The 12,141-nt window shown below is 45.0% G+C and overlaps 1 protein-coding gene across 6 annotated transcripts in view; it reads left to right on the forward strand.

The window, feature by feature from the left end:
* GPR107 (G protein-coupled receptor 107) overlaps window positions 1-12,141 on the forward strand; it is an 86,259-nt gene that overhangs the window by 18,512 nt on the left and 55,606 nt on the right. For 5 of the 6 annotated variants that reach the window (XR_007061336.1, NM_001136557.2, NM_001136558.2 and 2 more), the window contains exons 2-6: window positions 3,219-3,332; window positions 3,995-4,045; window positions 4,882-4,961; window positions 7,213-7,352; window positions 11,148-11,185. Coding sequence is in view for 4 of the 6 variants with exons in the window: in NM_001136557.2 (NP_001130029.1) it covers window positions 3,219-3,332; window positions 3,995-4,045; window positions 4,882-4,961; window positions 7,213-7,352; window positions 11,148-11,185 (423 nt within the window). In the remaining 2 variants the exon portion in view is untranslated. The remainder of the gene's footprint in view (window positions 1-3,218; window positions 3,333-3,994; window positions 4,046-4,881; window positions 4,962-7,212; window positions 7,353-11,147; window positions 11,186-12,141) is intronic. The other variant, NM_001287346.2, reaches the window with a different exon arrangement.

A 12,141-nucleotide genomic window follows, 5' to 3' on the forward strand; every position in this document is an offset into this window, starting at 1 on the left:
ACCGTGTTAGCCAGGATGGTCTCAATCTCCTGACCTTGTGATCTGCCTGCCTCGGCCTCCCAAAGTGCCGGGATTACAGGTGTGAGCCACCGCGCCCGGCCTTGATCTCGAACTCTTGACCTCAGGTGATCTGCCTGCTTTGGCCTCCCAAAGTGCTGGGATTACTGCCATGAGCCATCGTGCCCAGCCGATGCTGTTTTTATTGTTTAAAATAGTCTTCAAAAACCTGTTTTTCATGGCATTGTATCATCAAATGAAATGATGATGCAAAGGTTTAAAAAAAAGGAATGTACTATTTATGTTGGGGGGGGAACTGCTATCAGGTTGCAATCGAAACATTTTCTGGAAAAAAAAAACAAAACAACAAGAAAACCTGTATTGTGGTGGCCTAAGTATAAATGAAAGCCTAGCAGGTTTCCATTCTGCTGCAAAGCAGCTTCATGCTGGACCAATTAGAAAAGACATACTTTTAAAATTAAAACTTTATTGAAATGTAATATACATGGCTAAAAATTACTCATTATAAGCAAACAACTCAGCGCATTTCCAGAACGTAGACACACTCATGCAGCCCGCAGGAAATGAGGCAGAACCATTACCAAGCCCCTCCAGAAGCACCCTAAGCCTCACCTTCCCTCAAGTCCCAGGAAAGCCCCTTTCTCCTGAGAGTGGTCACTGTCTTCACCTCCGTCACCACAGATGATTTCCCCCTGCATTCCAGTTTGTTTTACATGAATATGGCTGTGATTCATATACGTTGTTTTATGTGGCAGAAATTGTGTGTTCATTTTCCCTCATCCTCTCCCTCTGCAGTCCTGCTCCACTGAGGATTCTGCCAGAGAATGAAGCCCTAATGTGCTAAGGCATCCATTTATGTAGTTGAGTTAATGTCTCCTGTGCCTCTAGGAGGGTAGTCATCATATACTGTCCTTGAGAGAATTGAGAAAATAGATACTGAAGACATTTTCCGTGGGTTTAATTCTCTCAGAGAATTCCAAGAAAGGCTGGGAGCCTTAGCTTTTCTGGCTTTTACCATTGACCCACTCTTGTAGATTCCAGGAGATGACCTCTGTTATCTTATCTGGCTTTTCTAATTGTTCTCTGTGAGAATGTTGGTTTGCTGCAAGCCACTCCAGCCCACCAGGAAGTGGAAATCCAGCAAACATGTTTTCACCACATAGCCAAGCTCCTAAGAAAATAAGGGAAATTCCCAGGGGCCCAAAAAAGGGAAGAAGGAGCTGAAACTCCATTGGGGAAAGAACAGGGAAGCCAGGGCTTCCCTGTGACGTTGCAGAAACTTGAAGCCCAGAGGCCTGGGTTTTTTGTTTGTTTTGTTTGTTTGTTGTTGTTGTTTTTGAGACAGAGTCTCACTGTGTCACCCAGGCTGGAGTGCCATGGCACGATCTCGGCTCACTGCAACCTCTGCTTCCCGGGTTCAAGTGATTCTCCTGCCTCAGCCTCCCAAGTAGCTGGGATTACAGGCATGTGCCACAATGCCCGGCTAATTTTTTTGTATTTTTAGTAGAGACAGGGTTTCCCATTTTGGCCAGGCTGGTCTCGAACTCCTGACCCCAAGTGATCCTCCTGCCTCGGCCTCCCAAAGTGCTGGGATTACAGGCGTGAGCCACCACGCCCGGCCGAGTCCTGGGTTTTTAACAGATGTTGAGGGGAAACAGGGACCATAGCCTTAGGCCTGAGCAGGGAGGTGAGTTGGAACTGTGTCCCTCTGCTTCTCAGCCCATAATCTAGGGCTGTCAAAAAGCTATGAATGCAAGAGTGGGCAGGAAAGAAAATCCTGCTAGTGATAGTGCAGTGTGGTGTAGTTCTGTGGGGGAGAGGAGGGGATTTAGTTTATGCTGTTTCTGCCAAAGATCTGCTCCACAGCCTGTCCTCACAGGCCTTTGGTGTTTGCCATTAGACTACCCGGGATGTCCAGGAAACCCCAAATCTAGAAATAAAAAGTTACCCTTCACACCAAGAATCAAATTGCAGACTTACGGAAGGTGTTGCAATTTAGCCAAATCTCAATATAAAAATTGTTACACAACATAAAGTGTGTTTGTGGAAGCCCAGTTTTAGAAGTGTTCACTGACACCATTGCTCTGTTGGCCCTGCAGTGTACTGACTTAGTTGAGATTGGAGTCAGGATGTTGAGACAGCATCAAGCAGGTGGGGTAGGCGTCTGCCCATGTGATTCAGTCTCACCAAACCTTAGGATTATCTTGTATCCAAAAGACTCTGTCTCCATGTCGCTAATTCCTATTCCTGGGATTCCTCTTGCATAAGGCTTTGTTCCCTGAAAACCCATCATCTACTGTATCACTTTTAGGTGAAAATTCACCTTTTTAAATAATTGACTTATAGCTTAGCTTCATTCTTTATCCTGCCAATGGGAGGAGCCAGGTACACACAAATTGATAAGAGGATTTATATAAATGAGTGTATTCTTGGAACAGCTTCAGCCGCTCCTTTTCTTCCTCCCCACCCCCCAGCATGTTTTGAGTGCCTACTAGATGCCAGGCATTGTACTATCAGGAAGGATGTGGGGATGACGATAACATGGTTCCTCCTGCCCTGGAATTCACATTTCAGCCAACCACTGAGTTTGCCCCTAGAACCCATACCAATGCATTGGAGTGAATTTGAATCCATTGAATACTTCCTTCTGCAGAAACTGTTGATATCTTTTGGATTTCCGATGAGTTGTCTTCAGCTTTTGGAGAAAGACATGTTACCACAGCTGTGTATGTTACTGAGCATATGGAAACATTGGCTGGCTAGCAAGAAATAAGATATCATAGTTTTTCTCTTCTTTTCTTTTACCTTTTTTTTTTTTTTTTTTTTTGAGACAGAGTCTTGCTCCGTCACCCAAGCTAGAGTGCAGTGGCATGATCTCGGCTCACTGCAACCTCCACCTCCCAGGTTCAAGCAATTCTGCTGGCTCAGCTTCCCAAGTAGCTGGGATTACAGGTGCCCGCCACCATGCCCGGCTAACTTTTTGTATTTTTAGTAGAGACAGGGTTTCGCCATGTTGGCCAGTGTGGTCTCAAACTCCTGACCTCAGGTGATCCACCCGCCTCAGTCTCCCAAAGTGGTGGGATTACAGGCTTGAGCCACCGTGCCCAGCCTGATATCATACTTTTTAAAGCAAATGAATAGGTTAAATAATCAAAAGCACTTTTCCATATGACTAATTCCACCACTACAAATCTCTTTAGGATGATGTGAGGCATAAAGTTCATCTGAACACCTTTGGCTTCTTCAAGGATGGGTACATGGTGGTGAATGTCAGTAGCCTCTCACTGAATGAGCCTGAAGACAAGGATGTGACTGTAAGTACCTTTTAATGAGATCCAGGGGTTTACTCTTTTTTTTTTTTTTTTGAGATGGAGTCTTGCTCTGTCACCCAGGCTGGAGTGCGGTGGCGCAATCTCAGCTCACTGCAACCTCCACCTCCCGGGTTCAAGCAGTTCTCTGCCTCAGCCTCCCGAGTAGCTGGGATTACAGGCACCCACCACCATGACCGTCTAATTTTTGTATTTTTAGTAGAGACGGGGTTTCACCAACTTGGCCAGGCTGGTCTTGAATTCCTGACCTCGTGATCCACCCGCCTTGGCCTCCCAAAGTGCTGGGATTACAGGTGTGAGCCACTGCGCCCAGCCCAGGGGTTTACTCTTTTAGCTTAGGTGAGAGTCACCTTCCAACCCCAATGCTTAAATATAAAATACCAGAATATGGAGATAATTAAGCATGTGAGTAGCAAATTATATATCAGGCATCAAATAATTTCACTTTTAACACTTAAAATGTAATTCTGTAATAATTCTAGTAATTAGTGACTTTGCTTGAGTGATTTTACTTTGCCTTCTTACAAAATGAATGCTAAGAAAACAGAGGAGACCACGTTAGAAGTACCACTTTTTCTGCTTTTTGAGTAAGAAAAGTATGGACAATTGTGTAGATATTTACTTCTACTGTTTTTACTCCCCATTAGATTGGATTTAGCCTAGACCGTACAAAGAATGATGGCTTTTCTTCTTACCTGGTGAGTATTAAATGTGTGACCTGATTCATCTCTTCACCTGAGCCCAGGCCATTGAACGGGAACACCCTACTTCTTGCAGTTCCATTTTCATTTTTTTTTTGGAGTACGGTGGCACAATCATAGCTCACTGCAACCTTGACCTCCCAGGCTTAAGCGATCCTCCCGCCTCAGTCCCCTGAGTAGCTGGGACTACCAGCGTGTGCCACCACGCCTGCCTAATTTTTGTATTTTTAGTAGAGACAGGGTTTCACATTTTGTTGGCCATGTCTCAAACTCCTGGACTCAAGGGATCCACCCACTGTGGCCTCCCAGAGTGCTAGGACTGCAGGCGTGAGCACCACGCCTGGCCACAGCGCCATTTCTTGAGGTAGTGGCTGCTTTGACTTCCAAGCATTTTTGAGAACCCACAGTTGGTTTACTTTTGTTTTTTGTTTTTTTTTTTGAGACAGAGTCTCACTCTTGTTGCCGAGGCTGGAGTGCAATGGTGTGATCTTGGCTCACTGCAACCTCCGCCTCCCTCGTTCAAGTGATTCTTCTGCCTCATCCTCCTGAGTAGCTGGGACTGCAGGTGCCCGCCACCACACCTGGCTAATTTTTGTATTTTTAGTAGAGACGTGGTTTCACCATGTTGGCCAGGATGGTCTCGATCTCCTGACCTCACGATCCACCCACCTCGGCCTCCCAAAGTGCTGGGATTACAGGCGTGAGCCACCACGCCCACCGGTTTACTATTTTGAATGGAGTTTGAGCCACGTATTTGCTATGTTCCTGAAAACTCTGTTCTTGTTCTAGTGTGAATGAATAAGATGATGTACAATTGGCTCTTCCTTTCTCAGGATGAAGATGTGAATTACTGTATTTTAAAGAAACAGTCTGTCTCTGTCACCCTTTTAATCCTAGACATCTCCAGAAGTGAGTAAGTAATTCTAAAGTTCCTTCAGTTCAGTCCTAGAGTAGAGTCGGGGAGAATTTAGTAGTATGCTAACATTCCTTGGGTGTCTGCCATGTGCCAGAGACCGTGCTGAGTGCTGGAGATTCAAGACAAGGCTAGGGAGACAGAGGTCCTGTCCTTGATGGGAGAGACAGAACGGAAATACACATGATCACCGCCAAACAGAGAAGTGGAAGGGAAGAACTCATGAATTGTAGAAAGGAAGGAGAGGCTTCAGATAAGTGTTGGCCCAAGCAGCTTTCTAGTGAGTAGCCTTTTACCAGATGAATAAGTAAAGCATTCCAGGCAGAGGGCATAGTCTATGCAAAGGCAGAGTGGAAACAAGACTGGGTCCACGTAATGGCTTCTGCCACTCACCAGCCCTGTGACTCCGGGCCTCAGTGTCCTTACCTACTTCGTGATGATGGTATCTGCCTCATGAGATTGTTGGTGAGGATTTCTGACAATTCAGCCTCTTTGAAAATGTTGAGGCCGGGCATGGTGGCTCATGCCTGTAATCCCAGCCCTTTGGGAGGCCGAGGCGGACGGATCACGAGGTCAGGAGATTGAGACCATCCTGGCTAAAACAGTGAAACCCCGTCTCTACTAAAAATACAAAAAATTAGCCGGGCGTGGTGGTGGGCGCCTGTAGTCCCAGCTATTCGGGAGGCTGAGACAGGAGAATGGTGTGAACCCAGGAGGCGGAGCTTGCGGTGAGCCGAGATCGCGCCACTGCACTCCAGCCTGGGTGAGAGAGTGAGACTCCGTCTCAAAAAAAAAAAAAAAATGTTGAACTTTGATGAATTATCAGACTTTGTGTTTTCAAGTTCAGCATACTTCCAACTGCGTACTTTGTAATTGCTGAGGGAGCCTTTAAGGTAGGAATCATGTGCTCAGACTTGCCTGTAAGGTAGACTCCTAGCAGCCCAGAAGAGGATGGATTTGAGATGAACAAGACTGGAGGTAAGAAGACTAATGAATAAGCTTCTAAAAAAAAAATGCTTTGTCATAAAACCATTGTAGACCCTAACTTTTAAAATATTCTCCGTGATAACCTCTGTTTTCATTTAAGAAGATTGATCTGACAGTCTCCTGTATTGGTCAGTCTACTTTTGGAAGCAAGCAACAAAAGACTTGACTTAGACTCTGGCGTGAATAGTGAAGACATTGATTACCTCACCTATGTGCAGTGGGGCAGGCGAGAGACAGGCCTGCGGTGGCTTGCTGATGTTAGGGACTCTGGTGCATTTCATCTTTCTGCTCTGCCATCCTGAGTGTTAGCTTCTTCCTCAGGCAGGTTTCCCAGCCATCACAAGGTGGCTCTGCTCCATCATTCATATCCAGCCAAGGGACAGAGAGCAGGCTCCTCCTCCAGGTAGAATGAGAAGTGCTTGAATGTGCCAGCTTAGGTTGGGCATCCACTCAGTCATGGGAACTGTCACTGGCCCCTCCTGGGTGGGATGGGGTAAACAAAATTGGGTCTCATGAGAAGGGGGAAGGGTGGAAATGGATATTAGGAGGCAACTAACAGTGCCACTGCCCTCTCGTGCTTCCCTGGATTTCACTTGCTTTCTTTATTTTTTGAGACGGGGTCTCGCTCTGTGGCCCAGGCTGGAGTGCAGTGGCACGATCTTGGCTCATTGCATCCTCCACCTCCCAGGTTCAAGCGATTCTCCTGCCTTAGCCTCCCAAGTAGCTGGGATTACAGGTGCATGCCAACACACCCGGCCAGTTTTTTTTTGTAATTTTAGTAGAGACAGGGTTTTGCCATGTTGGCCAGGCTGTTCCTGAATTCCTGACCTCAAGTGATCCACCCGCCTCAGCCTCCCAAAGTGCTGAGATTACAGGCGTGAGCCACCATGCCTGGCCTGGATTTCACTTTAAAGTCTTACTGATGTTTTACATTTTGTCCGTTTCTCTTGTGCACCAATTTGCTGAGCATTTTAACGATACTTAAGGAGAAAGATGTACCTCAGAATTGTGTGGTTACTAAGATCTTAGGCTTAAGAGAGACTACCTGGATCCTCGTCCAACTACTTCCTAGCTTGGTGCCCTTGGGCAAGTTATTTAACGTTTCTGAGCCTCAGTTTTGGTATCTGTAGAATGTGGATAATAGAATCTACATTGTAGAACATGATAAGGACTGCATGAGCTTGGCACAGGGCCTACACGCAGCGTGCTCAGTGGCCAGGAGCACTGCTTTGACCTTTTTTCCTTCTGTCTTATTTGAATGTAGGGTAAGAGTAAAGTCTCCACCAGAAGCTGGTACCCAGTTACCAAAGATCATCTTCAGCAGGGATGAGAAAGTCCTTGGTCAGAGCCAGGAGCCTAATGTTAACCCTGCTTCAGCAGGCAACCAGACCCAGAAGACACAAGGTAAACCGTAAGGTGGAAACTGGCTTTCAGTTTTCACTACCTGCTTTGTAGCTTTTTTGTTCCTAATTAAAAGTAAAAGTAAAACATGATCTGTTGTCGTCTTAGCATTATATTTTGGAAGTTACACAAAAATACGTAAATGTTAAAGAAAAATGTGGAAAATCTGAAGCAGATGGAAAAACAACAGTCATTTCTCCTTATTCCCAGTGTTAGAATTTTAGTAATTTATGTTTTCTTATAAGCTTGTTTCATAAGTCTAGAACATTTGATTTTTAAAATTCAGTCATGCTTATAATTTTATATACATGCCTGATTACTTTTTAGCCCATTTCATACCTATCATATATCCTGTTAAGCAGATACTGTAATTTGCTCAACCTTTCCCCTTAAGGAGACACATTTCCATTTTTGTGTGATTATGAATATTGCTGCAGTGGACTTCTTTATGCATAGAACTGTCTTCGTATAGCGAACGTTCTTTAAGATGGTTTTCAGAATTGCAATTTCTGGTTCAAAGGATATGAATGCATTTGAGAATATTGATGTATATTTTTAAATTCCTTTCCAAATGAGTTGTGTGGATTTATATTCTTATCAGAAATATGTAGGAATAGTGGGCACATTATCATGTCCTAGCCAATATGGGGTATTTTCTTTTCAAAAAACAAAATCCTAAAATGAAAGGCAAAAAAGGTATTCCTGTTTATTTATTTATTTATTTATTTATTTATTTATTTTTTGAGACGGAGTCTCGCTCTGTCGCCCAGGCTGGAGTACAGTGGCGCAATCTCGGCTCACTGCAAGCTCCGCCTCCCGGGTTCACGCCATTCTCCTGCCTCAGCCTCCCAAGTAGCTGGGACTACAGGCGCCCGCCACCATGCCCGGCTAATTTTTTGTATTTTTAGTAGAGACAGGGTTTCACGGTGTTAGCTAGGATGGTCTCGATCTCCCGACCTCGTGATCCGCCCGCCTCGGCCTCCCAAAGTGCTGGGATTACAGGCGTGAGCCACTGCGCCCGGCCCTGTTTATTTATATTTACTCTTATTACTGAGACTGTACTTTTTCTCCATGTGTTGATTAACCAATTTATATTCACCATTTTTTATTAACTGTCAGGTTCATCTGATGATTCATGTGAGTTCTTTAAAGATAATTTATGGCCAGGTGCAGTGGCTCACGCCTATAATCCCAGCACTTTGGGAGGCCAAAGTGGGAGGATCACTTGAGTCTAGGAGCTTGTACCAGCCTGAGCAACATAGCGAGGCCCTGTCTCTGCAAAAATAAAAATAAAAAAATTAGCCATGCGTAGTGGCATGTGCCTGTAGTCACAACTCCTCAAGAGACTGAGGCAGGAGGATTGCTTGAATGTGACTGGTCTAGGCCACATTGAGCCGTGATGCACTGCAGCCTGGATGACAGAACAAGACCCTGTCTCCGAAATAAATACATACATACTTACTGCTTATACAATGTTTTTCTCAAAGGAGGCTGGGCATGGTGGTTCATCCCTGTAATCCCAGCACTTTGAGAGGCCAAGGCGGGCAGATTACTTGAGGTCAGGAGTTCAAGACCAGCCTGGCCAACATGGTGAAACCCCATCTCTACTAAAAATACAAAAATTAGGCCGGGTGTGGTGGCTCACGCCTGTAATCCCAGCACTTTGGGAAGCCGAGGTGGGCAGATCACAAGGTCAAGAGATTGAGACCATCCTGGCCAACATGGTGAAACCCCGTCTCTACTAAAAATACAAAAAATTAGCCGGGCATGGTGGCACGTGCCTGTGATCTCAGCTACTCAGGAGACTGAGGCAGGAGAATTGCTTGGACCAGGGAGATGGAGTTCGCAGTGAGCCAAGATCGCACCACTGCACTCCAGCCTGGCGACAGAGTGAGACTCTGTCTCAAAAAAAAAAAAACAAAAAACAAAAAACACAAAAATTAGCCGGATGTGGTGGCATGCGCCTGTAGTCCCAACTGTTGGGGAGGCTGAGGCAAAAGAATTTCTTGAACCCAGGAGACAGAGGCTGCAGTGAGCCGAGATTGCGCCACTGCACTCCAGCCTGGGTGACAGAGTGAGAGCCTGTCTCAAAACCAACCACCACCACCGAAAAACAACAACAACAACAAAAAAAGAAGAGGTTTAATTGTCTAATTGCCTCACAGTTCTGCAGGCTATACAAAGCATGGCGCCGGAATCTACTCCTGGTGAGGGCCTCAGGAAGCTTCCAATCATGGCAGAAGGCAAGAAGGAGCAGGCAGGTCACATGGCGAGAGCAGGAGCAAGAGAGAGTGGGGAGGTGCCACACTCTTTTAAACAACCAGATCATGCCTGAACTCGGAGCAAGAACTCACTCCTTACCACAAGGAGGGCACCAGCCATTCATGAGGGATATGTCCTCATGACTCAGATACCTCACACTAGCCCTCACATCCAACACTGGGGACTGCCTTTCCACATGAGATTTGGAGGGGACAGACATCTAAACTATGTCGTTCAGTCTGTCCAACTTGACTGCAGTTAAAAGCCACACAGAAAGACTGCATTTGTGCAATGGTGTAGGTTAATGCCTGTGCACCATCTGCTTCTTGTCTGGCTTCTTTGTGCTCATATCACCGTTCTCTGGGAAGAAAATATTCTTTTCTTTCTCTTTATTCTCTTCCTTCCTGCAGGGAGCCTGAAGTCCAGTCTTTCCCAAAAAGAATATCTTTTTTTTTTTTTTTTTTTTTTTTAGACGGAGTCTTGCTCTGTCTCCCAGGCTGGAGTGCAGTGGCGCGATCTCGGCTCACTGCAAGCTCCACCTCCCAGGTTCACGCCATTCTCCTGCCTCAGCCTCCCGAGTAACTGGGACTATAGGCACCTGCCACCACGTGGCTAATTTTTTTGTATTTTTTAGTAGAGACGGGGTTTCACCATGTTAGCCAGGATGGTCTCAATCTCCTGACCTCATGATCCGCCCATCTCAGCCTCCCAAAGTGCTGGGATTATAGGCATGAGCCACCGCACCCAGCCCAAGAATATCTTAAGTGAAAACAAAAGATAGATGCCCACTCTGTTCCATGAAAGAAGCCATTAGCAATCTTCTTGCTGTAGGGAGGAAAGTATCATTATGCTAATATTACTTGCTGTTAACTTTTTCAAGTGTGTAAATGTATCTCATGTTTTTCTTTTTGAGATGGAGTCTCGCTCTGTCACCCAGGCTGGAGTGCAGTGGTATGATCTCAGCTCACTGCAGCCTACACCTTTTGGGTTCAAGGGATTCTCCTGTGTCAGCCTCCCGAGTAGCTGGGATTACAGGCATGCACCACCATGCCCGACTAATTTTTGTATTTTTAGTAGAGATGGGGGTTCGCCAGGTTGGCCAGGCTGGTCTCAAACTCCTGACCTCAGGTGATCCACCTGCCTCAGCCTCCCAAAGTGTTGGGATTGCAGGCATGAGCCACCGCACCTGGCCTTCTTCTTAAAAATTGTGTTTTCAAATGTGATTACTTAGAAAATTAGGAAGTCATTCCATGTGGCCTCTCTGGCAATAACATAAGCTAGAATATCCAGAAATGAATTCTGTTGTTACTATTACCGGTTACTAGATACCATTTATAATATAACAAGGTCTAATTTGCTGCTTCGACAGTACAAGAATTATGTTTTGGGACCTGAGGAAATGGCAGTCCCCAAGATTATTTTGTTTAATTATTTGATATTAGACAAGCTGAAGCCTCATAAAATGATACTGTAATATATATATGTATCTGTAAGTTGAGTCATGCAGCACTCTCTTTTAAATGTTCTTGCTTCTAGATGGTGGAAAGTCTAAAAGAAGTACAGTGGATTCAAAGGTAAGAACTAACCACCCTTTTGTGCTCAGCTTTTCTGGATATGTGTGTACGTGTGTGTGTTATATGCATGTGTGTGTGTGTATTGATATATATACATACATGCATGCACAGACACATACATATACAGTCGTCCCTTGGTGACCACAGGGGATTGGTTACAGGAACCCTAGTGAATATCAAAATCAGTAGATGCTCATGTCTCTTATATAAAATGGCATAGTATTTACACATAACCTACACACATCCTCCTGTGTACTTTAAATCATCTCTGGAGTACTCATGATACCTAATACAACGTAAATGCTTTGTAAATAGTTGTTACACTGTGTTGGATTTTTATTTATGTTATTTATTACTATTACTTTTTCATCTTATTTTAAAAAATATTTTTGGTTGGCAGTTGGTTCAATCTGCAGATGTGGAACCTGCAATACAGAGAGCTAACATATATATATATATATATATATGTACACACATACATACATACACACACACGCATATCTCATCTACAGGGGGCCAGATGTGGTGGTTCATGCCGTAATCCCAGCACTTTGGGAGGTTGAGGTTGGGGGATCACTTGAGATCAGGAGTTCGAGACCAGCCTGGCCAACATAGTGAAACTCTGTCTCTACTAAAAATACAAAAATTAGCTGGGCTTGGTGGTGCATGCTTGTAATCCCAGCTACTTGGGAGGCTGAGGCAGGAGAATCACTTGAACCTGGGAGGCAGAGGCTTCAGTGAGCCAAGATCGCGCTACTGCACTCCAGCCTGGGTGACAGAGTGAGACTATCTCAAAAAAAGTTAAAAAAAAAAAAAAATCTACAGGGAATTGTCTCCTATTTTGGGGGAGAGCATTGACATACTGAAACAATTTCAAAGGACAATTGATTCCTGGCTGGGCATGGTGGCTTGCGCCTGTAATCCCAGCACTGTGGGAGGCTGAGGTGGGTGGATTA

Source organism: Homo sapiens, chromosome 9 (genome assembly GCF_000001405.40).
Source record: "Homo sapiens chromosome 9, GRCh38.p14 Primary Assembly".
Taxonomy (NCBI): Eukaryota; Metazoa; Chordata; class Mammalia; order Primates; family Hominidae; genus Homo; species Homo sapiens.